At 44.2% G+C, this 26,023-nt stretch overlaps 1 pseudogene across 1 annotated transcript, besides 1 other annotated feature; it reads right to left on the reverse strand.

Annotated features, from left to right (window-relative positions):
- Positions 1 to 2,259: 2,259 nt before the first annotated feature.
- Positions 2,260 to 12,982, reverse strand: LRRC37A5P (leucine rich repeat containing 37 member A5, pseudogene; annotated as a pseudogene). Its single transcript, NR_034087.1, has 3 exons — positions 12,427 to 12,982; positions 8,443 to 8,698; positions 2,260 to 2,542 (listed from the first exon to the last, which is right to left on the reverse strand). The product of NR_034087.1 is annotated as a leucine rich repeat containing 37 member A5, pseudogene (transcript).
- Positions 16,200 to 16,933: an enhancer, noted in NCBI's record as "NANOG-H3K27ac hESC enhancer chr9:114379051-114379784 (GRCh37/hg19 assembly coordinates)". NCBI's record gives its function as "activates a minimal SCP1, AML or CMV promoter by ChIP-STARR-seq in primed H9 embryonic stem cells {active_cell/tissue: H9 hESC(primed)}" and the evidence as "EXISTENCE:reporter gene assay evidence [ECO:0000049][PMID:30033119]".

Below are 26,023 nucleotides of genomic sequence, written 5' to 3' on the forward strand. Positions count from 1 at the left end.
TTTATTTATTTAATTTTAATTATTTTGAGGTCTTGCTCTGTCACCCAGGCTGGAGTGCAATGGTGGGCATCATAGCTCATTGCAGCCTTGAACTCCTGGACTCAGGTGATCCTCCTTCAGCCTCCCTAGAAGCTGGGATTACAGGCCCACCACCACACCTGGCTCAATGTCTCTCCTTGTAAGGATACCCGCCATATTGGATTAGAGCCCCACTTGTCAGCCTCCGTTTAACTTAAACACGTCTTTGAAGGCCTTGTCTTCAAATACTGTCAAATGGATTAGGGCTCACTAATATGGCCTCATGTAACCTTAATTACCTCTTTAAAGGCCCTATCTACAAATACAGTTACATTCTGAGTACTGGGACTTGGGGATTTTAACACATGAAATTGGGGAAGACACAGTTCAGCCCATAACAGAGTGTGTGGACCAAGCGTGGTGGACGCATGCCACAGGATATACACAGCATCAGAAGCACTGGGTTCCATGTACATAAAGCAACTTGGATGGACCCTAAAAACACAATGCCGAGAGTTGAATTCTTCACACTAATCAGAGTTGGTGGCACTTTATCCCCACTGGTCTGCCAAATTCTTTCTTTCTCACTCTCTCCCTTCTCATTAATTTATGTAACTTAATATAAAACAAAACTCCATTCCCAGGCTGGGTGCTGTGGCTCATGCCTGTAATCCTAGCACTTTTGGAGTCTGAGACAAAAGGACCACTTGAGGCCAAGCATTCAAGACTTGCGTGGGCAACATAGCTTTAACCTGGGAGGTGGAGGCTGCAGCGAGCTGCGATCGTGGCACTGCACTCTAGACTGGGTGTCTAAGTGAGATCCCGTCTCAAAAGAAAACCAAAAAAACTCAATTTCCTGCTTTTCTCCTCCTACTATAGGTAACTACTGTGATGTATTTGATTTGCATACAGTTTTTTTTTCCATGTTCTTACATAATGTGCACTGTGGTCATATACATTTAATTTATAGAAACGGTATTGGGTTACATATCGCATTCTGCTTCTCTCTTTTTTTTTTCTTTTAAGATAACTTGTTACAGAATCACTGTTTCTTTTGGATATTAGAAGTGTTAATAAAATTGCAGGCATAAAAAGTCTTTGCAAAGTAAGAATAAGAGAAAAAAGTGCCAGAAACACAGAGTGGCTCACATATTTACTCACTTGTCCTTAAATTGAAGATACAGATAAGATTGGGCCGCACCAGGTCAAACAAAATCTGTTTCCCAAACTTGATGACTCAGTCAGTCTCAAAGGCTGCAGCTTGTCAAGTCATGGTGATTAAGTTAAATCACGGCTGTTACATACTCGCACACAGAGAGTTAGAATATGGAATAAAGGATCAAGGAAAAAGATTTTCCTTTGCTTTACCCCAAGACAAAACTCTACTCAATTCAGTTCTCTGATCTTAGGTTTCAATGAGTTCTGATCTAACTGTGGAGGGAACAGTTCACTTAAAACAATAAAGCAGTAACAAACAAGTAATTAAAAAATGCTTTTTTATCAAATAATTCAGATGATACAGATGTGTACGCTATAAAAAGCAAAAGTCATTGTTATCTGTTTGGTGGAAATTTCTTTTGGATTTTTTTTTTGTACTTCAAAAACAGACAGACTTAGTCAGGGGTGGTGGCTCATGCCTATAATCCCAGCACTTTGGGAGGCCAAGGCGGGTGGATCACTTGATGTCAGAAGTTCGAGACCAGCCTGGCCAACATGGTGAAACCCCATCCCTACTAAAACTACAAAAATTAGCTGGGCATGGTGGCGGGCGTCTGTAGTCCCAGCTCCTTGGGAGGCTGAGGCTGGAGAATCACTTGAATACAGGAGGTGGAGGTTGCAGTGAGGCAAGATCATGCCACTGCACTCCAGCCTGGGCGACAGAGCAAGACTCTTTCTCAAAAACAAACAAACAAACAAACAAAAACAGACAGATTTGTCCCCCACTTTTTTCTCTACAACTTCCATTTCATTGGTCTGGTGGGATAATGCTTGAGAAATAATTATAACAACAAACAGTAATATTTGTCTCATAATTGCAGGAATTCCTGAATATATGTGGGACACTGCGTTTGAAGAGATAGTGATTATCCTCTCTGCACAGCACAGAGGAGATGCAATCTTGCACTAGAATAGCCCTTGGTATCCAGTATTTCTAGTCCTCATGATGACCCAAGGAGGGGTCATCAACAGGTTTGCATGCCCACTGCATAGTATAGACCAATTACACTAAGACAGCAGGGATGCAGCAAAGAAAGAGTTTAATGATCACAGGCCACCCAGCAAGGAAGTGGAAGGAAACCCTCAAATCTGTCTCCCAAGAAGTTCTGGCCTGGGGCTTTAAGAGGATTGTGGAGAGTGAGGGGCTGGAAAATTGGGGTTGCTGGTCGGTTGGGGCAAGGGGGATAAAATCATCGCAAAGTGGAAACTGTATTTTTTGATGAGGTAGCTCCTCGGGGAGTCCTTCAGGACAGCTGCATCAGTGTGGTCCTTCAGCTGACATCAGTAGTTTCTTCCATATCAGGACCTGAAGGAATATCTCAAAGTGAAAACAACATTTCATAATGTTCGAGTTGCTATTTAAAGAGCAGTTAAGGTGAACTATAATCTTGTAACTGGGTCTAGTGATTCTAGAACAATAGGCACCAAAGTGTGAGGAAGCAGATGGGAGAGTGTGCCGAGTTAATCATGAATGCTGAACCTGCTGCCAGCTTGGTTTGTTTTTGTTTCTCCCTCCCTCCCTTCTTTCCTGATTAATTTTATGTATTTTTTGAGATGGAGTCTTGCTCTGTCTCCCAGGCTGGGGTGCAGTGGCATGATTTTGGCTCACTGCAACCTCTACCTCCCGGGTTCAAGGAATTCTCCTGTCTCAGCCTCCTGAGTAGCTGGGCCTACAGGCACACACCACCACGCCAGGCTAATTTTTGTATTTTTAGTAGAGACAGAGTTTCACTATATTGGTCAGGCTGGTCGTGAACTCCTGACCTCAGGTGATCCACCCGCCTCAGCCTCCCAAAGTCCTGGGATTACAGGTGTGAGCCACCGTGCCCGGCCTAATTTTATAAAGTTTATAGGGGCAGTTTCAGAAGCAAATATTACCATCATCTTCCTTGGAGCCTCAGGAAACTGAAAGTCTGAGAGGTAAAACAACGTAGACAAGATCACATAGCTAGTCAGTAGCAGGGTTGAGATTTGAATCTCAGTCCATGTCAAAGTCCTACACTTTTGTCTGTTCCATTCACGTTGACAGCCCAATTCTGTTGCTGTTGGGGGTGCCACTATGCCGCGGATCTATTGGACTGAACAAAGGGGGCAAACGCGGGAATAAAAGACAGTAGACAAAAGAGTATATTTGGAAGAAGGAGTCAGGGGGAACCTAGCGTCTAGTGGACAAGGGTCCTGAGCTTTACACAGCCCTCCGTATTTATTAGGTAAAAGAGATAGCGAGAAGCAGGGGTGATTGTTGAGTAATTGTCAGTCGGCCGTCTGGTTCACAGCAGGCTTGCGAGACTGCATCCTTTGAACAATAGGCCCTAATTTTCTCAGTAGATAACTATCGGGGGAATTCACACCCAATATTTCCACGTAGGTTCTTTCTATTTTCCCTAAGCGTCGGCCGGTCTGAGAAATAAAGAGAAAGAGTACAAAGAGTACAAAAGAGCCCGGCGCCAGGGAGTGATATCCCTCAGCAAAGCTTTTGGTGGCAGGGCAGTGTGAGTTTGCCCACATCCTGCATTCATGATAAACAATTTGCTGTTTGATCATATAGCCTCCAGCGGAATGCTGAGTTGGTCATGTCCCACGGGCCTTCGGCCCCCTGCACTTTCAGCTTTCCAGTACAGGTGAAGTAGATTCCTTTTGTAGGTAAGAACAAACTTAGGGAAGGTTACTAATGAGATTTCTGTAAACCCCTATCAGCGATGTCATTTCTGGCATGCAAACATGCTGCACGTCTTGGAATGTCATCTCATCCTAGCTTCCCCTTCCAGCCTCTCCTTCTACCCTCCTGTCTCCACTTGGGTAGCGTCTGCTGTAATTCTGTGGTGGGACTTCTGCCTCTTGATGGATGGCTGGGCTGAGACAAGGGCAACGAAAGTACAAAAAAACCCTGAAACATCCTTTTGCGTCAGTCAGTAAGAAAGTGTGCAAAATATGATGGAAACACGAAAGAGTAAGGGATGTGTCAAAAGGAACACAGAAACCACCTTAAAGGAGCTTCCATTGGCCAAATCTAAGACAATCTGCACATAAAAACCGGCAATAAAATTAGCATTTTATTATTGTAGCACCCTACAATTAACGATAGCAATTAACATGTTAATGGTTAACCCTTAATAGTTTAAGGTAAAAATCAATCAATCAATAAGTAACAGAAAATATGTTAATGGATGAACATATTTTATCACCCCTAAAATAAGTTACCAAGAGTTCATAAACACAGAAGTAAGAAAAGGAGGGCTGGGCTCAGTGGCTCAACGCCTGCAATCCCAGGACTTTGGGAGGCCAAGGTGGGTGGATCACTTGAGGCCAGGAGTCCAACACCACCCTGGCCAACATGACGAAACCCCATCTCTTCTATAAACACAAAAGTTAGCCTGGCATGGTGGCACACAGCTATAGTCCCAGCTACTATGGAGGCTAAGGCACGAGAATCGCTTGGGCCTGAGAGGCGGAGGTTGCAGTGAGCTGAGATCGCATCGCTGCACTCCAGCCTGGGTCACAGAGTGAGAGAGACCCTGTCTCAAGGAAAAAAAAAAAAAAAAAAAATTCCTGACAGTAGAATGCCACAGTTTTGAAACCATTTATTAATAATTGACTCAGGCAAGAATCATGAAAGCTAAAAGAAGGTGAAAGTTTAATAAGGAACAGAGTGTCTACATGTTCTAAGCGTATCTCTTCACAGATTGTTTATTAAAGGGGAAAAAGGTAACTTTACGGTGGAAAAACCTGACAGATAAGAGGTCAAAGTCAATATCATCAATGAGACCAACAGATATTATCTGTGCTTTCTCATATTATGCCTTGAGAAGGACACAACATCAATTCTGTGGTTTCCTGACTGAAATACATAATCTGGATTTAGCCATGAGGAAACAGCAGACAAACTCAAATTGGGGGACCTTCTACAAAACAGCTAGTTTGTAAGTTTCAAAAGTGTCAAGGTCATGGAGTCAAAGAAAGATTGAGGAACTGTTAAAGAGATATGATAACGAGATGAAGCTGAATTACATGGCTGGGGAGAGGCGCAGATAATTATAAAGATCATGGTTGAAACAACGGGTAAAATCTGAATATGAACTAAAGATTAGATCAGGAGTTGGCAAACTGGCCAAATCCAGCCTACTGCCTATTTTTGTACAGCCTGCAAGGTAATAATGGTTTTTACATTTTAAAAATATTATAGTAGGCTAGGTGCGGTGGCTCAAGGCTGTCATCCCAGCACTTTGGGAGGCTGAAGCACGCGGATCACGAGGTCAGGAGATGGAGACCATCCTGGCTAACATGGTGAAACCCCGTCTCTACTAAAAATAAAAAAAAAATAAAAAAAAAAAACATTAGCAGGGTGTGGTGGCGGGCACCTGTAGTCCCAGCAACTCAGGAGGCTGAGGCAGGAGAATGGCATGAACCCCGGAGGCGGAGCTTGCAGTGAGCCAAGATTGCACCACTGCACTCCAGTCTGGGCAGCACAGTGAGACTCCATCTCAAAAAAAAAAAAAAAGAAATAGCATGAAGATCAGAGCTATCTTCTTGCACCTGCCATCTTTCAAGTGCATTTAGCTTAACTACTCTGTGCACCAGACTAGCATATTTTAACCTCATCAGTGGTAATAAAATGTTAAGAAGCTTGATGTAGCCAGTCCACAATGTACACAGATATCAAAACATCATGTTGTACTCCATACATATTTATAATTTGTACTTGTTAATTAAAATAAATTTTAAAAATATAACTAGGTGCAGTGTTTCTGTGTCCAGGCATTTGTGGGATGAGAGGAAGGTAAATTTAAATTGAGAGCCTCCCTGTGGTTCTAATCCACTTGGGGCAGAATCTCTCTGAAGCAGCCTCTGACTTGGCAATTTTCTAGGAAAGAATTAGGGAATGGTGGTCGGGTGCAGTGGGTCACTCCTGTCATCCCAGCACTTTGGGGGACCAAGGTGAGAGGATTGCTTGAACTCAGGAGTTGAAGACCAGCGTGGGCAAAATAGTAAGAAACTCATCTCTACCAAAAAATTTTAAAAATTACTTGGGTGTGATGGGGCATGCCTGTAGTTCCAGCTACTTGAGAGGTTGAGGTGGGAGGCTCACCTGAAGCTTGGGAGATTGTGGCTGCAGTGTGCTATGATTGTGCCACCACCTTCCAGCATGGCTGGCAAAGTGAGACTGTCTAAAAAAAAAAAAAAAAAAAAAGGAAAAAAAAAGATTTAGGGAATGAATCAGGAATAAGATTAATCAAAGTTTTTTTGCTTTTCTTTTTTTTTTGAGATGGAGTTTTTTTCTTGTCGCCCAGGCTGGAGTGCAACAGTGTGGTCTCGGCTCACTGCAACCTCCATCTCCTGGGTTCAAATGATTCTCCTGCCTCAGCCTCCCAAGTAGCTGGAATTATAGTCACTCGCCACCACGCCCATCTAATTTTTGTATTTTTTGTAGAGATGGGGTTTTGCCATGTTAGTCACGCTGGTCTCGAACTCCTGACCGCAGGTGATCCACCAGCCTCGGCTTCCCAAAGTGCTGGGATGACAGGCATGAGCCACTGCACCTGGCTAAAGATTTTTTTTTTTTAACTGCCCCCCGACCCGCCACAGCCTTATTAATTTGCTTATTTTAAGTTGTGAGTATATGCAAATGATGTTTTCTTTTCTTTTTTCTTTTTCTTTTTCTTTTTTTTTGAGACATTCTCACTCTGTAACCCAGGCTGGAGTGCAGTGGCACAATCTCGGCTCACTGCAACTTCCACTTCCCAGGTTCAAGCGATTCTCGTGCCTCAGCCTCCCGAGTAGCTGGGATTACAGGCATGAGCCACTATGCCCAGCTAATTTTTGTATTTTTAGTAGAGACGGGGTTCCGCCATGTTGGCCAGGCTGGTCTGGAACTCCTGACCTCAGGTGATCCGCTTGCCTTGAGGTCAGGTCGTGAGACACCTGTGGCCTTGTAAGAGCACTCAAACCGTATTCTCAGGAGGCTGTTTTCAGCGTTCCTTATCACACCACACGCTCCACTCCCTGTCCTGTTTTCAGGGTCAAGGAGTTTCATTCTCATGCACAAATAACATACACACAGTGCCTCAGTATTTTTCCATGTCCCAACCTCAAATGCCTTCTACATAAGCTTGACTATGTTGCTGTGCGCCCCACACACACTTTTTTTTTTTTTTTGAGATGGAGTCTTGCTTTGTCACCCAGGCTGGAGTGCAATGGCACGATCTCGGCTCACTGCAACCTCTGCCTCCCCGGTTCAAGTGATTCTCCTGCCTCAGCCTCCTGAGTAGCTAGGATTACCGGCACGCACTACCACGCCTGGCTAATTTTTGTATTTTTAGTAGAGACGGGGTTTCACCATGTTGGTTAGGCTGGTCTCAAATTCCTGACCTCATGATCCACCCGCCTCGGCCTCCCAAAGTGTTGGGATTACAGGTGTGAGCCACCATGCCCGGCCCCCGCACACTATTATAGTCACAGTTGAACGCAGTGCCAGCGGAATCTGCCTCAGCAGGATGATTGTAGGTTGTGTTTTCAGAGATGGTGCCTTCTGGCATAGTAGTGTTTTCCATAAAAATGTTTTTCTCGAGATGAGTGTGTTGTTATAGCCATATCCTGGAACTTTTTTAGTGAGAAAAAAAAAAGGAAAGAACATTTTTAAAAAAAAACAAGGAGGATGAAGAGGATGAAAGCTAACTATTCAAAACCCCAGTATTACAGGTGAGTAGCTTACAGGTTCTTTTTATTTCTTTCAGACAGGGTCTCACTCTGTTGCCCAGGCTAGATGGAGTACAGTGGTGCGATCACGGTTCACTACACACTCTACCTCCCTGGGCTCAGGTGATCCTCCCACCTCAGCCTCCCAAGTAGCTGGGACTACAGGCACTTGTCACCACACTCAGCTGATCCTTGTATTTTTTCTGGAGACAGGTTTTCACTATGTTGACCAAGCTGGTCTCAAACTCCTGACCTCAAGTGATTGATGCACCTCAACCTCCCAAAATGCTAGGATTACAGGTGTGAGCCTTTGCACCTGGCCTACAGTTTATCTTGTGTACTAATCTATTTCACTCTCTAAATGAGTAAAGTGGGAGATCATTGTCATGGTCAAAGTTACATGGCCAAGACAAGCTATGCTCTGGGAGTCCCAGGTTCTCCTGTGTGGGCACTTTCCTGGCATATGCTAAATGATGGGAAAGTCTGGGTCTCATGTTTCTGTGTGGTCCTCACCTCATTCGACTTCTGCTCTTTCTGTTCATTCTGGGCTTCCATGCTGTCATTGATACAGTTCTCAATTCTTGCTGCTCACTGAGAAGCTTCATTAGGAGGCCTGTCCTAGAGATGAGCTTGGCACAGGCCAGTTGCAAATGGGTCTCAGTGCAGTCCGTCTTCAAGGTCCGGATAACATGAGAAACAAGCCTTCTCACATCGTTGTTGGGGATGAGGGACCATAGCTGCTGGTTTAGCTGAATTTCAAACTGGTCACCTGAGGATGAGAGCAATGGGTAATTGAAGCTTTTGGGTTCGGGGGACAGGTCAGTGCCCACGTTGTTGTATTCCAACTGTGTTTCCCTGGTTTGTTTAACAGTCGTCTCTAAGTTTAATGCAGTCCCAGCGGAATCTGCCGCAGGAGGATGATTGTAGGTTGTTTTCAGAGATGGTGCCTTCTGGCATAGTAGCATTTTCCATAAAAATGTTTTCTTCAAAGGCATTTCTTGCAGTGGTGTTTTCTACATTAGTGTTTTCTATAAAAGGTTCTGAAAAGGCAAATACTTCTGGAAAAGGATTTTCCTGAGGACTCAGATCCCCTAAAGACTTCACCCTCATGACTTGATCACCTCCCAAAGGCCCCACCTACTAACACCATTATCTTGGGACTAGAATTTCAACATATGAATTTTGTGGGAACACAAACATTTAGACCCCAGCAGCAGGGAACCCAGGGATCTCGGTTGTTAGTGGTGATCTAGGTGTGAGGGTGAATGTGTGTGTACCTATGTGTAATCGAAATGGTCTTGTATTCCCTAATGCCCCACTCTGCACACATCACTGAGGTCCCGGGACTGTACTCCATCATCTCAGAAGTGTCTCCCAGCCGCAACTCCTGCCTGGCATTCTGAGACCACACAATGTATGTGGAGGGCTATGCTTGCTATCTCATGATCTCATTCCAGGTTATCATCTCCCCGATACTGACTTGTGTGCACCACACACTCCCATCTTGCCATCTCCTTGCCTCCACACAGACATCAGACAATCTCATTTCACATGTACCCCACCAGCCCCATGTTGGCTCCCCAAGATTCTCTTTGTATGGGGCGGGGGTTTGACAACAACAAACCATTTCCCTGCCAGAGTACTACCTGCCCAGCTAGAAGCTTTTGGCAGGAAAACGGGAGTCAGGAAGTGAGTGGTCTGTAGTCTTTGATCTTTCTGAAAGGCTGGGAAGAAGAAACGTTTCCTGGTTGGGTCCCCAAAGCTGAGGCTGAGAGCTCTGCCTGGACACTTCTGGGCATGCTTGTTCTGGCTGGCGCTAAAATGCAATGCTGGTGTTTGCTAATTCGTTCACCACACTTGCCAGGCCTCATGAAAAGATTCCTGCCAGGAGAGGAACCAGGAATCATGAGTTGGCTGAGTCGACACAGCATAAAGCTCAACTTAAACAGTTTATGGGTATTTTATTTCTGTTCTCTTTTTTCCTTGGTTCTGGTTTTCTAGCTTTGTATTACTATTATCAGAGTGGGCATAAATTTCAGTTCAATTTAGTTCAGATAGGATTCCAGCTGGGCGCAGTGGCTCATACCTGTAATCCAAGTACTTTGGGAGGTTGAGGTGGTGGATGGCCTAAAGCCAGGAGTCTGAGACCAGCATAGGCAATGTGGTGAAACCCCAGCTCTACGAAATTTTTTTTTTTAATTAGCCAGGTAAGGTGGTGCATGTCTGTGGTCCCAGCTAATTGGGAGACTGAAGAGGGAGGATAACCTGGGCCTGAGGAAGTTGATGCTGCAGTGAGCTATAATCATGCCACTGCACTCCAGCGTGGGTGACAGAGACCCTGTCTCAAAAAAAAAAAAAAAAAAAAAGATTCCAAGGTGCTTTGTTATAATCACTCCCTGGCAAATGCTTTCAGCTTCCTTGCTTTTTTCTTCCTCCATCAGTCACGCCTGGCATAACCCTAACCCCGAGTAAAAGCAATCACTGACTTTTCCACGCCTTCCCATGAGCCCCTGAACATTGTTGGCGAAAATTACTTAACTAGACTGACTGGTTTTCCTCTAATGATCACAAACAACACAAAGGCACACACGACACTGCCCAGTAACCCCAGAGATTCTCCAGGAAATTTCCTTACTCGCAAAACTTGATGACAATTTTATCCTTTCACACGGTTCTCAAGCCTCACCCCTCAACTATTCTTACCTGATGCTTCACTGAGAGATTAAAACAGATTAGACCAGAGACTTTGTCTTTTTATGGTCAAGACTACAAACTTTTCTGCATATGCATCCATCTTCACTCCTTTCTTTCTTTCTTTCTTTCTTTCTTTCTTTCTTTCTTTCTTTCTTTCTTTCTGTCTGTCTCTTTCTCTCTTTCTCTCTCTCTCTCTCTCTCTCTTTCTTTCTGTTTTTGAGACAGGGTCTCACTGGGTTGCCCAGGCTGGAGTGCAGTGGCACAATCTCGGCTCACTGCAACCTCCGCCTCCCAGGTTCAAGCCTTTCTCCTGCCTCACCCTCCCGATTAGCTGGGACTACAGGCATGCACCACCACACCGGGCCCATCTTCACTTTTCTTTCTGTGAAAATGGAGGCAGCTTCTCTCCTCCTACCAAAGGTTAATGTACTTGGGATGCATTTCTCCTAACCTTCCTAGGCTACCTGGATTATTTCTTTTCTCCTGCATAACTAACCTCTTCTGAATCAACTAGGACACTTTCCACCGCAAGTAAAAAGACAAAGGCCATCAGCAGACTGAACACTCCCAAATTTATATCTCCTGCCCAGGATGTCTTCCAGGCTCCATCGATTAATGGGCTGAAGAGCCTCCTGTGTCCAGCCTGGGCAACATGGCAAAACCTCGTCTCTACGAAAAATACAAAAATTAGCCAGGTGTGGTGGGGTGTGCCTGTAGTCCCAGCTACTCGGGAGGCTGAGGTGAGAGGATCGCTTGAGCCCGGGTGGTTGAGGCTGCAGTGAGCTGAGATCATGCCACCGCACTCCAGTCTGGGTGACAGAGCAGAGGGAGACTCTGTCTCAAGAATTAAAAAAAAAAAAAAAGTCACCTGGACATTTTCCCCATGGCATCTTAAACTTAACATGTTCTAAACTGAACTGATTTCTACCTGGAACAGATGCTTCTAGCTGCATTCTCTCTTGGTTCTTTGCTAGCAAGTATCCCCACGTTGTTTAGAATAGTAACATGTCTAGCTAAAAAATTGCTAGCCAAGCTCCTTTATTGTTAGAAGTGATCACATGACAATTCTGCCTGGAGGTATGAGCAGAAGTTACTGGATAGGGCCTCCAGGAAAGCTTTTCAAAAGTGGGCAGAACACACTCTCTCTTTTTTTTTTTCTGCATGGAACATGCACGGAAGTAGAGCAGCGACTTCATGATCGTGAGGTCCACAAGCCGAGAGTGAAAAAGCAGAAGGTTAGAAGGACTCTGGGAAGCAACATCATGGGATCCCAACATTAGTTCTGGGATGTTACAGGAAAAAAATGATGCCCTACTTGTTTTTTTGTTTTGTTTTGTTTTTGAGATGGAGTCTCACTCTGTCGCCCAGGCTGGAGTGCAGTGGTGCAATCTAGGTTCACTGCAACCTCCGCCTCCCAGGTTCAAGCGATTCTCCTGCCTCAGCCTCCCGAGTAGCTGAGTCTACAGGCACATGCCACCACACCTGGCTAATTTTTTGTATTTTTAGTAGATACAGGGTTTCACCGTGGTAGCCAGGATGGTCTCGATCTCCTGACCTCGTGATCTGCCCGCTTCGGCCTCCCAAAGTGCTGGGATTACAGGCGTGAGCCACCGCACCTGGCCGCCATTACTTGTTTAAGCTACTATGTATAGCAGACATTTTGTTACAAGCAACTGAACCAAGCCTTAGCTATACACCACTCAAACCTACTTCTCCCTAGCCTTCCCCATTAGTAATTGGGACCTCCAGCGCCAAATCCAGAGGTGGGCAAGTTATCCGGGATTCTTCTCTCTTAACACCCACCTACAATCCAATCTATAAGCAAGTACTGCAGCATCTCCTCCAAAATATTCCTATTCATGCACTTGTCTTTACGAGCTTTGCCACTACCTGGTTCAAGCCACCATCATCTCCTAAAATAACCTGATACTGGTCCCTTTGCCTATCCCCTTGCCTCCTTTCAGTCTTTTCAGCATCTAGCAGCTAGAAGGAGCTTTTAAAATGCAAACTGGGCATCAGTACTGGCAGATACTAAAACTTCCAGGAAGGACATGAACTGCTTTGCCTAAGAGAGAGAGAGAAAAAAAATTTGGAACTCCCCAATTTAGAATGAAAAATTAAGAAAATGGAACTCCCCATTTTAGAAGGAAAAATTAAGAAAAGAGTAGAGAGAATGGCTCTGGGTTACATAATGGATTCCTTAATCACTGGCTAAGAAATAAAAAAGGAACCTCTGAATATTGGAATGAATTAATTTTCTTGTGGAAATTGGTGAAGGGGCTAAATATCCTAATGATCTTGGAACAAAATAGAGCTCACATTTAAAAATAGCTAGCAGGACGCAGGAGGAGGCAAGCCCAGGGAGCTCACAGGCATTGTGGGAGAACTTTGGACTATCATGGAACATAGAACTTGGATTTGTTCCAATTTAATCAGACCTCGGAAGGGCAGAGGAGCCACCCACAGATGGCTTTGGGTTATGTTTGGGTTTTACTTGCCAGCTTGGGGGCATTGTTTAGATATCAGCTGTTGGTCATGCTGAACTGTGAAACAGGCGTCATTCCTTATTTGAGGTCTTATTACCTTGGTTTGTGAATTATGTGGGAAGGGTAAGGGTGAGTAGGACCTGCTGATTTGGATTACTTACCTGGATTTATAACCAGATGCATCCATCTGGTGGCGCTTAGGAGGAACTTTTTAGCAACTCTCAGTGGTGTCCTAATTTTTTCATTCAAAAGAATCTGAAAACAAGCCTGGGCAATATAATGAGACCCCATCTCTACTAAACTTAAAAAAAAAATGAGTGGGGCATGGTGGTGCATGCCTGTAGTCATAGATACTCAGGAGGCTGAAGCAGAAGGATTGCTTGAACCCAGGAGTTGGAGGCTGCAGAAAGCTATGATCACACCACTGTACCTCAGCCCAGGTGACAGAGTAAGACTCTGTCTCCAAAATAATAATAATTTTATATATATGTATATATATATATATATATTTTTTTTTTTGAGACAGGGCCTCACTCTGTCGCCTAGGCTGGTGTACAGTGGCATGATCTCAGCTCACTGCAACCTCTGCCTCCCAGGTTCAAATAATTCTCCAGCCTCAGCCTCCTGAGTAGCTGGGACCACAGGTGCGCACCACCAAGCTCAGCTAATTTTTGTATTTTTAGTAGAGATGTGGTCTTGCCATGTTGCCCAGGCTGGTCTTGAACTCCTGAGCTCAAAGTGATCCACCTGCCTCTGCCTTCCAAAGGGCTGGGATTACAGGTGTGAGCCACTACACCCAGCCTAACAATAATAATTGTGTTTTTTTGTTTTTTGTTTTTTGAGATGGAGTCTTACTCTGCTGCCCAGGCTGGAGTACAGTGGCGCGATCTTGGCTCACCACAAGCTCCACCTACCGGATTCATGCCATTCTCCTGCCTCAGCCTCTCGAGTAGCTGGGACTACAGGTGCCCACCACCTTGCCCGGCTAATTTTTTTGTATTTTTGGTAGAGACGGGGTTTCACCGTATTAGCCAGGATGGTCTCGATCTCCCGACCTCATGATCCACCTGCCTCGGCCTCCCAAAGTGCTGGGATTACAGGCATGAGACACCGCACCCGGCCAATAATTTTTAAATATTTATATGAGAGGCAGAGAAATTTTGTAGGAAAGGAATGCTTTGTATGGAAGAGAGTTAAGATGCACAAAGACAGTAAGTGGTTCAAGATCAAGGGGAAAAGTGAGTGCTCAGCTCAGTGTTGGTTACTTGTATCTTACTTCAGCCCAGACTCTTGGGCTCATGCCCAAGTTCCAGCTCAGGGGGACACCAACAAAGAAAAAAGTAAGAACTTAAACAAGTGGCTTCATTAAACTCTCTGTGACATACTGAGTAGCTTTGTTACATAGATGGGAGATGGCACCAGTGACTTCGACCCTATCGGAGACATTGGGATTCGTCAATCTAATTACTCATGTGGAGGGTGCCCAAGGATACCTTATGTTTGGAGAGTCACTGGAAGGGCTCACGGGACCCAGACTATAGTTGTATTCATGGCTAAGGTTTATTACGGCAATGTAATGAGGAGGGAGAAAGACTCAGGTGGAGCCTGGGGAAATCCATGGGCAGGCATCCTACTGCCCCCTCCCTCCACGAGGAATTGCACAGTGCACTCTTCCTTCAGCAATGAAAATATATTTCCCCAGCAGTAAGCATTCAATGTTTCTGCTTATTAGAGGGAAACCCATTAGAGTCTCAACATCCAAAGTTTTACTAGGGTCTAGTCACATAAGGCACCCTCTGCCTAGCGTGTACCAAAATTCCAGACCCCCCAAAGGAAGGCAGGTGTTCAGCATAAACCACACTGTTTGTATAGTCTAGGCAGAATGGGCCACCCTTGTCAGTTAGGGAATGGTGGGGACACGCTTCAAATCCAAGTTCCCAGACACCAGCCCAAGGCCAACATCGCAATCAGGCTTGCTATGTTAACTCTTCTGTACATCAGTAAAACCTCTAGCAATAGTGAAGTCATTAAGAGAAATTTCGTCCTGGAAATTTTCCACCAGAATTTCTAATGTTGTATGGTGTATGCACAGAAGTTAGGATTAAATATGTTAAAGCTTGGCAGCTCTTCTAACTGGTCTATATTCAAGAAATATATTCAAGGCAGGGCAAAAGAAAAAGAATATAGCCAATTGCAAATGAGGAGGTAATTGGTTCTTTGACCATTTGTCCCTGAAGCACAGCTGCAGATTAACACTTCCTTGTGGGTCGTTCTCATCTCAGGAGGACAGCTGATGTACATAGACACACAGGGAGGTGGGCACTGAGGGTGGGCTGTAAACCTGGCACAACCTAGCTATGATATCCACTGTGACATCTAACCTGCTAGTAGAATCATGCCAAGGAATGGAAGTAATGCAAGCTGACAGAGGTTTGGGCCCAGGAATTTCCTCCCACAGTAGAGGAATGTGGTAGAGACATACGTAGTCACAGAACCAGAGCTGTGGACCAAAAGAAGGTTCGAAGATGAATATTTCTGGCAGAAAGCTAACAGTAACTATTTTGAATTTACCAGGCACCTCCCTAAGGAAAATTGCTTTCAGAAAACACTGGAGCAAGAGAATACATGGAAGATAGTTTATACTCCTGCATCCTCCAACCTAGAATTCTAAAAGAAAAAAAAAGAGTACCTAAAAAAAGAAAGAAGCTGAGGACCTAGGACAAATTGAACAGAGCAATGCAGCCTGGGCTGCAAATAGCCGGATACTAAAACTAGGATTTTTGCAGAGCTATCTCGGGGGTAGAAGAACCTGAACTACAGGTTAAATGTGCCAGGTGATGTTCCGGAATAGAAAGTCAAGGAGAATGAGAGTCAGATTATGCAGTGTTTGGGGTGAGACTGTATGAAATGAGTGCCAGAAGCTATAACACTTGTGTGCTTAAATGCCAATTTTGGAGTAAGATTTTGTCAGGGTAGAATCTGCTGTGGAAGCATGAGCTGAGCTTCCCACCTTTCCCATCCAACAATGAATTAATCCAGTGAGACACTACCTTTTCTCCATCAATCTGTATCCTTGATCCTGAATATGAGGACAATGGTAAAATTGCACAATGTGAGTTACAATTCTCTTGTGCTCTTTGGATGATGTTTTTCTTTTTATTTATTTATTTATTTATTTATTTATTTTATTGATCATTCTTGGGTGTTTCTCGGAGAGGGGGATTTGGCAGGGTCATAGGACAATAGTGGAGGGAAGGTCAGCAGATAAACAAGTGAACAAAGGTCTCTGGTTTTCCTAGGCAGAGGACCCTGCGGCCTTCCGCAGTGTTTGTGTCTCTGGGTACTTGAGACTAGGGAGTGGTGATGACTCTTAACGAGCATGCTGCCTTCAAGCATCTGTTTAACAAAGCACATCTTGCACCGCCCTTAATCCATTTAACCCTGAGTGGACACAGCACATGTTTCAGAGAGCACATGGTTGGGGGTAAGGTCATAGATCAACAGCATCCCAAGGCAGAAGAATTTTTCTTAGTACAGAACAAAGTGAAGTCTCCCATGTCTACTTCTTTCTACACAGACACAGCAACAATCTGATTTCTCTATCTTTTCCCCACCTTTCCCCCTTTTCTATTCCGCAAAACCGCCATCGTCATCATGGCCCGTTCTCAATGAGCTGTTGGGTACACCTCCCAGACAGGGTGGTGGCCGGGCAGAGGGGCTCCTCACTTCCCAGAAGGGGCAGCCGGGCAGAGGCGCCCCCCACCTCCCGGACGGGTCAGCTGGCCAGGTGGGGGCTGACCCCCCACCTCCCTCCCGGGCGGGGTGGCTGCCGGGCGGAGACGCTCCTGGCTTCCCAGACGGGGTGGCAGCCGGGCGGAGGGGCTCCTCACTTCTCAGACGGGGCGGCTGCCGGGCGGAGGGGCTTCTCACATCCCAGACGGGGTCGAGGCCGGGCAGAGGCGCTCCCCACATCTCAGACGATGGGCGGCCGGGCAGAGACGCTCCTCACTTCCTAGATAGGATGGCGGCCGGGAAGAGGCGCTCCTCACTTCCCAGACTGGGCAGCCGGGCAGAGGGGCTCCTCGCATCCCAGACGATGGGCGGCCAGGCAGAGACGCTCCTCACTTCCCAGACGGGGTGGCGGCCGGGCAGAGGCTGCAATCTCGGCACTTTGGGAGGCCAAGGCAGGCGGCTGGGAGGTGGAGGTTGTAGGGAGCCGAGATCATGCCACTGCACTCCAGCCTGGGCAACATTGAGCACTGAGTGAACGAGACTCTGTCTGCAATCCCGGCACCTCGGGGGGCTGAGGCTGGCGGATCACTCGCGGTTAGGAGCTGGAGACCAGCGCGGTTAGGAGCTGGAGACCAGCCCGGCCAACACAGCGAAACCCCGTCTCCACCAAAAAAATACGAAAACCAGTCAGGCGTGGAGGCGCGCGCCTGCAATCGCAGGCACTCGGCAGGCTGAGGCAGGAGAATCAGGCAGGGAGGTTGCAGTGAGCAGAGATGGTGGCAGCACAGTCCAGCTTTGGCTCGGCATCAGAGGGAGACCGTGGGGAGAGGGAGAGGAGAGGGAGGGGGAGGGGGAGGGAGAGGGAGAGGGAGAGGGAGAGGGGATGTTTTCAACTTTAGTTTTTTTTTTGTTTTTTTTTTTGTAGAGTTTCAGAGAGAAAGAGGCGTTTGTATTGATTCAAGAGGATTGAATCAGATGGATTTTCCATTTAGAAAGCAAAAGGTAAGAAAAAAAATAGAAACAATACCTTTGTGCCAAGAGAAGAGCAAATGGGAAAGTTAGATATAGAATTGTTATCAGTATGTCTTCTTTTTCAGTACAAAATACCTTGAAAACTTAGTTAATCTTGTACATTCAACAGACTATGTTCTGGAATGTTCTATTCACATGTTTCAGGAAGACTAACCTTTCTCTTTCTATTCTGTAGAAAATCAAGACTTCAGCATTGTGTTTAAAATGATGAAGGCAGCCGGGGGCGGTGGCTCATACCTGTAATCCCAGCACTTTGGGAGGCTGAGGTGGGCGAATCACGAGGTCAAGAGATCGAGACTATCCTGGCCAACATGGTGAAACCCCGTTTCTACTAAAAATACAAAAATTAGCTGGGCATGGTGGCATGCACCTGTAGTCCCAGCTACTTGGGAGGCTGAGGCAGGAGAATCGCTTGAACCCAGGAGGTGGAGGTTGCAGTGAGCTGAGATCGTGCCACTGCACTCCAGTCTGGCAACAGAGCGAGACTGTGTCTCAAAAAAAAAAAAAAAAGATTAAGCCATCAACACGATTTTATTTTATTTGCATAGCCTTCAAATAGGAAAGTCTAGGTTCATAATTAGATACCTTTTCCTGTCTGGCAAGAGACCTTGTACAGTTTATATACTGGTGAACTAAATTATACAAAACCTGAGAAGCCATGGTCAGAGATGATTGCGCACGCGTGCGCACACACACACACACACACACACACAGAGTTGTTGTTTTGAGATAGAGTCTTGCTCTGTTGCCCTGGCTGGAGTGCAATGGGGTGACTTTGGCTCACTGCAACCTCAACCTCCTGGCTCAAGTGATCCTCCCACCTCAGCCTCCGAGTAGCTGAGGTTACAGGTACGTGCCACCACACCCAGCTAATTTTTTTGTATTTTTTGTAGAGATGGGTTTTCGTCATGTTGCTCAGGCTGGTCTTGAATTTCTAGGCTCAAGTGATCCACCATTGAGTGCTGGCCATGTATGCAGTAGCATCAGTACTTGTAGTAGCAGCAACAGTGATCCTAATAGGGGTATGGGTGGCATCACTAAGTTTCTTGGTTAATGCAGCCACAGAAAACATACCAGAGTATAGAGGAGCAGATGCTGGGTACCCAAGACAACCTAGTGATACAACACAAAGCTTTACTGGCAGCTGCAGGCCTCATGGAGCAGACTGGGACAGTTAGAAGCATGCTTTTTTTTTTTTTTTTTTTTTTTTTTTTTTGAGACGGAGTCTCGCTCAGTCGTCTGGGCTGGAGTACAGTGGCGCGATATTGGCTCACTGCAACCTCTGCCTCCCAGGTTCAAACGATTCTCCAGCCTCAGCCTCCCAAGTAGCTGGGATTACAGGCATGAGCCACCACACCTGGCTAATTTTTGTATTTTTAGTAGAGACAGGGTTTCACCATGTTGGCCAGGCTGGTCTCGAACTTCTGACCTCAGGTGATCCACCTGCCTCGGCCTCCCAAAGTGCTGGGATTACAGGCGTGAGCCACTGCGCCCAGCCATAGAAGAATGCTTTTATTGTTATTATGTTGACCTCATTTGCAACTCTAGATTGGTGTGGCCTGGTAACACATATATAGTGCCAGAATAAACATCTTTGTGCATACATCCTTTTCCATATTTTGAATTCTTTCCTTAAGACAGAAAAGTATTGAGTCAAAGGGTATAAATACTTTCTGGGAGTTGAAACAATACCTGGGCTCTTCTAGTCTATGTATTACAGTCACCAAATTGCTTTACAAAAAGTTGTCTCAATTAGGAATTTATGCAGCCCTGAGAAAAGTGTCAGCTGTCCTCTTCGATCGGTCTTGCTAAAATTGGCTATTGCAAGTTTTAGAATCATTGCTAATTTTGTCAGGAAAATGATAATTTGTGGTTAATGTTTGCATTCCTGTGATTACTCATCAAATTAAGTCTTTCCATTTATCCTGACTGGTTTGATTTCCTTTTCTGAGAATGTCCATTCAAGATCATTACTATTTAAAATGACTTTGTTTTGTTTTGTTTTGTTGTAAAGAGTCTTGCTCTGTCACCCAGGTTGGAGCGCAGTGGCGTGATCTCGGCTTACTGCAACCTCTGCCTCCCGGGTTCAAGTGATTCTCCTGCCTCAACCTCCCTACTAGCTGGGATTACAGGTGCCTGCCACCATGCCCAGCTAATTTTTGTATTTTTAGTAGAGATGGGGTTTCACCATGTTGGCCAGGCTGGTCTGGAACTCCTGACCTCAAGTGATCCGCCCACTTCGGCCTCCCAAAGTGCTGGGATTATAGGCGTGACTCACTGCACCTGGCCTAAAATGATTTTAATTATACCTTTTAATTTTTAAAATAAAGTATATAAATATTTATGTAAAATATACTAATTCTTTGTCAAATTTACTATATCTATTCCCAAATTTGTCATTTTTTCTTGAATATTATGAGTTTTAATGCATACCCTTAAATTTCATGTAAACAACTTCATGAAAAATTTCCATCTTTTTTTTTTTTATTTTTTTTGAGACGGAGTCTTGCTCTGTTGCCCAGGCTGGAGTGCAGTGGCGCGATCTTGGCTCACTGCAAGCTCCACCTCCCAGGTTCAAGTGATTCTCCTGCCTCAGCCTCCCGAGTAGCTGGGACTACAGGCGCTCACCACCACACCTGGCTAATTTTTTGTATTTTTGGCAAAGACAGGGTTTCGCTGTATTGCCCAGGATGGTGTCAAATTCCTGAGCTCAGGCAATCTGCCTGCCTCAGCCTTCCAAAGTGCTGGGATTACAGGTGTGAGCCACCACGCCCAGCTCATTTCTTAATTTAAAAAGCCTTCTCTGCATCAACAATTTTGTTGAGTATTCACATCTCACATCTTTATTCTTCTAGTTTGTGCTTCATTTTGTTTCAGTGGGACACAGTGGTGCGAAGCTGGAACTCTGAGCCAGGCAGACCTGCCTGGGGATTATGCTAATTAGCAGATGGATATCTCCTTGAGCTTCCTATATAAAACTTTATCATAGAGAATATTTCTGAAATGCCTGTTTACCCAACTTCACAGATTATTTAGACAAAAAGTGAATAGGTGTACACTGGAGATCTTCATCTGCAAATGTTTTTCCTCCCTGACAGAACCAACTGCCAGGTTTTAAAAAGTAGGTTTAGCTTGCTCAAAAGTCCCCTTTGAGGATCACGTGAGCCCAGGGGTTTGAGACCAGCCTGGGCAAGATAATGAGACCCTAGTTCTACAAAAAACATACAAAAATTAGCCAGAGATGATGACATGAGCCCGTAGTTCCAGCTACTCAGGAGGCTGAAGTGGGAGAGTTGCTTGAGCCTGGGAGGTTGAGGCTGCAGTAAGCCATGATCCTGCCTCTGCACTTCAGCCTGGACAATAAAGGGAGATCCTGTCTCAAAAAAAAAAAAAAATCCCTTTCACATCCATCCTTATAGGAAGTATGCCAGAGGAACAGGTATTGGAGCTTTTTTTAGTTTTCCCCATTTGTCTATGCAACCAATCATACAGATTTATTTTCCTTTCTTGGGTTCTTGGTTTTAAAAAGGTGCTTCATTCATGAATTCTGAGGATAGCTAGGGAAAATTTAAACCATTATAAACTGGGGAATTTAGCTTTTAGACATCTCCAACAGGCTGTGCAGAAGTGGGTAGCATCCTCTGGTGGACAGTTTTGGAACCGGTATGGTCTCTGATGGGTGCACTGGAACCAGTTGGGGAGATACAGATCCAGGGTGAATCCTCTCCAAAATCTCTCCTCAGCATTTTTCTGTGGCTCTCTGATGGTCAGCAAGTAAACGGCTGCTTTGTATCCCTGATGACCTAGCAGGTCCAGTATTAAACCCACTATGAGTGGTTTGTGTGAGCCATGTGAGTTTTCTGCTTGCCCCAAATAAGAATGCCAGAGGAATGGGAGAATTGTAAAATGAGTTTCTCCACAAAAGTGACTGAGTGGGCTGAACAGTAAAGGGCAGTGGATGTGGAAAACAAAAAAAGGGAGTGAATACAGGCAGAATCCACCCATCCTCTGACTCCCTGCCATTCTTCAAGTGGACAGATTTTAGGAGAGGTAAGGAAGAAACAGATATTAATTGCCTTAAGTAATTAATTAATTTTATTTTTAAATTTTTTGTAGAGGCAGGGTTTTGCCATGTTGCCCAGGCTGGTCTCGAACTCCCGGACAGGCTCAAGCCATCCACCCGCCTTGGCCCTCCCAAAGTGCTGGGATTACAAGCATGTGCCACCACACCTGGCTCAGATATTAACTCTCAACAACAACAAAAATATAGACATACACCAAGAAGGCAGAAGAGAAACTATAGTCATACAAGCCTGACAAAATTAGAGATGGAGTTGGCAATGAAATTGGTGGCATTCCAATGCCATGAACCGTGACTCACACTAGTGGGTTGCGACACTGGTAGTCCACTTGCAGTGAGAAGGACAGATTTGTAAATGTCATCAAAGGAAGTTCAAAGGCAATGCTGGTTTTGAATTAGCTTTTTAAACTGTAATATTATTTTTTAAATGTATATGCATTAAGTACATATGCATTGAAGCATTTCTTTCTCCACTTTGAAAGGAAGGTGTATTCATCTGTTCTCATGCTGCTATAAGGACATACCCGAGACTGGGTAATTTATAAAGGAAAGAGGTTTAATTGACTCACAGTTCCACATGGCTGGGGAGGCCACAGGAAACTTACAATCATGGCTGAAGGGGAAGGGAACACATCCCTCTTCACATGGCGACAGGAGAAAGAAGTGCCGAACAAAGGGGAAAAAGCCCATTGTAAAACCATCAGATCTTGTGAGAACTCACTCACTATCATTAGAACAGCATGGGGCTAACAGCCCCCATGATTCAATTACCTCCCACCAGGTCCCTCCCACTGGGTCTCTCCCATGACACGTGGGGATTATGGGAACTACAATTCAAGATGAGATTTGGCTGGGGACACAGCCAAACCGTATCAGAAGGATTTTAATTTTGAGACTTCCTGTGATGTGCGTGAATTCCCTACAATTTGCAAATGTGCCTATTCATCAAGACTTCTATTTTGGAATAAGTATGGGTACTCTGTCTTTGACAAGTTATCATCAAAGGAAACAATGAAAATTAAGTTTATGGAAGTCACAAGTCCATGTTGATACAAGAAAATGTTAATTGTCTTCCATATAAATTTCCAAAGCTGTTTATCAAAACTTAGAATGCTGTACAGACCAATCCCAATTACAAGAATCTTAAATATAGTTGTGATCAAGTTGCTAATCATAACCTGTTGCAAACCCACAAGTCCACTGATTCACTGAAGTAATTTAGCTAAAAGTTATCTGTGAAGACACTACTGTTTGCTGTGCTTCTTAGTTCTCCTTTTACATACCTTATATGAAGAAATTCAATGGCTGGGTGTAGTGGCTCACACCTGTAATCCCAGCACTTTGGGATGCTGGGGTGGGAGGATTGCTTGAGGCCAGGAGTTTGAGACCAGCTGGGGCAACATAGCAAGATCCTGTCTCCACAAAAATAATTTTTTTTTTTTTTTGAGACAGGGTCTCACTCTGTTACCCAGGCTGGAGTGCAGTGGTGCAATCACGGCTCACTGAAGCCTCAACCTCCCGGGCTCAAGCGATCCTCCCACCTCAGCCTTCTGAGTAGCTAGGACTGCAGGTGCACTCCATTATACCCGGCTAATTTTTGTATTTTTTGTAGAGACAGAGTTTTGCCATGTTTCCTAGGCTGGTCTCAAACTCCCGGGCTCAAGCAATCCACCCAGCTTGGCCTTCCAAAGTGTTGGGATTCCGAGCGCCTGGCCCAAAAAATTTTTTTAAAAAGAAATTCAAGGTGCGGATAGATAATTAAGGAATGGAATGTAGAGGCTATATCTCGAAATCCATCTGTGATCATCTAATCTTGACCTTTGGGCTAAAGAAATATAATCAAAAGCTAGATTTCAGGTAATAGGGGTTTTTTTTTTTTTTTTTTGGCTTAAGATGTTATTACTCAAATAATTATACTGGTCAAAACAACCTCCCCAGAAGATTGTTCTGACTGATTGAACATGTCCATCTAAGCAATTGGACCAGAGATAGTAAAGAACCCTCAAACCTCAGCGTTTGCCTGGGTTGTAGTATGAAATGAACTAATGAATGATAAGCCTCCTGATTCTTCTATTCAGCCTTGGGAAAGAAAGCCAGAAAGAAGATAGTTTTGCTCTGTGGGAAGATATTGTGGGGAGAACATTATAAATGATATAGCCCTGCAGCTGCAGTTAGAGGTACATCCAGACTAAACCCTGACTTCCCTCAGACTGCAAAGGTGGAGATTCATGTAGTAAGTAGTCCAGGAAGAACCATGAACAGCAAGTTCATCATAAGCCACATTCACTTAGACATTCAACAAATGTTTATTAAGCACCTACTATATACCAGATGCTGAATACATAGTAGTGGACAAAATATATTCCATTTTATAGTTGGTTATTGCCAATAGAGATCAATGCTATTAACTTTTCTGGGTTGAATTTGTGTGTTAATCTTGCTAAACTCTAATTCTAATAGCTTGATTGTTGATTCTGTTAGTTTTTCTAGATGCTCATATTATTTGTAAATATCAGCAGTTTTATCTCTGCCTTTATAATGCTTACACTTTTTTCTTTTCCTCATAATGCAGACAAGAACCTCCAGTATCATATTAAACAGCAACAAGGGTATTCCAATGGCTTGTCTTTTTCCTGATCTTAAAGTATAGTTTGCTATAAGTCTAACTTTGCTGTAGATTTTTTATATATAAACTTTTCAAGGTAAGAAAAATGTCCAGCATTCCTACTTTGTAATTTTAAAAATCATAGTCATTAAACATTATAAAACATTTTTTCTGTATCACCTGTGGGAGCATGTGGTTTTTTCTTTAAATTTATTAATTATGAATCCATTGATAAATTTTCTGATTGTAAAACATCTTTACATTCCTGCAAAGACTTTTACTGGATCAAGATGTAGGACTTTTTAAAGACATTGTTGTTGGATTCAAATAGCTGTTATTTTCTTGTATTGCCCTTATCTGATTTTGGAATCAATATGACAATAGCCAATAATAAAATGAATGGGTTGATTTTGAAAATCTTCTATTTTCTATAGCAACTTGTCTTGTTTTGTTTTGTTTTTTCAGGAGAGACAGTCCTGAATGGCTTTTAAGTTTCTTTAATATTAATACAAGCATGAATTTTGATATTTTATATTTTTTAGGAACTTTTGCATTTCATCCAAATTTTCCAATTTCCTGTCCATATGATGACTATGTCAATATTTTATTTCAGATTCTGGTTCATAGGGTTTCCTATGGTGAGAGAGATGAAGTGAGATCTGGTTCAGGCAGCACTTTTCAAGCATGGTGTTCATTTTTTTGAGTAGGATGATTCTATAAAGGATGTGTCCTTCCATGATTAGTCTGACATCTGATCTTGGCCTGGATGAGGCCTTTTGTGATTCTTCCTGGCTCCCCTGTAGTCTGCCTTATCTTCCTTCAGGCTGGGCATGCTCCTTTATGGTGCTGGCCATGGTTAGCTACTAAAAGGGAGAAAAGAGAACCTTAAAGGAGTATGGAGCAAAAGATGCAGTAACTGCATGCTTAGTAGATACAGGATTTCTATTTGGAGTGATGAAAATTTCTGGAACTAGACAGTGGTGGTGATTGTACAACACTGTGAATGTACTTAATGCTACTGAATTGTATGCTTTAAAATAGTTAAAATGGTAAATGTGATGTTATATTAATTCACGATATAAAATTTTTTAAAAAATAAATAATGAGGCCAGGTGCAGTGGCTCACACCTGTAATCCTAGTACTTTTGGGAGGCCTAGACGGGCGGATCACCTGAGGTCAGGAGTTTGAGACCAGCCTGGCCAATATGGTGAAACCCTGTCTCTACTAAAAATACAAAAATTAGCCAGGCATGGTGGCAGGCGCCTGTAATCCCAGTAACTCGGCAGGCTGAGGCAGGAGAATCGCTTGAACCGGGAGGCGGAGGTTGCAGTGAGCCAAGATCGTGCCATTGCACTCCAGCCTGGGTGACAAAAGCAAAACATCATCTCAAAAAAATTAAATAAATAAAGAATGCAGAGAGCAGCTAATTACTCCTAAAGTGGAGGGAAAAGTAAACAAATATG

The sequence above is a fragment of the Homo sapiens genome, chromosome 9 (genome assembly GCF_000001405.40).
Source record: "Homo sapiens chromosome 9, GRCh38.p14 Primary Assembly".
Classification (NCBI taxonomy): Eukaryota; Metazoa; Chordata; class Mammalia; order Primates; family Hominidae; genus Homo; species Homo sapiens.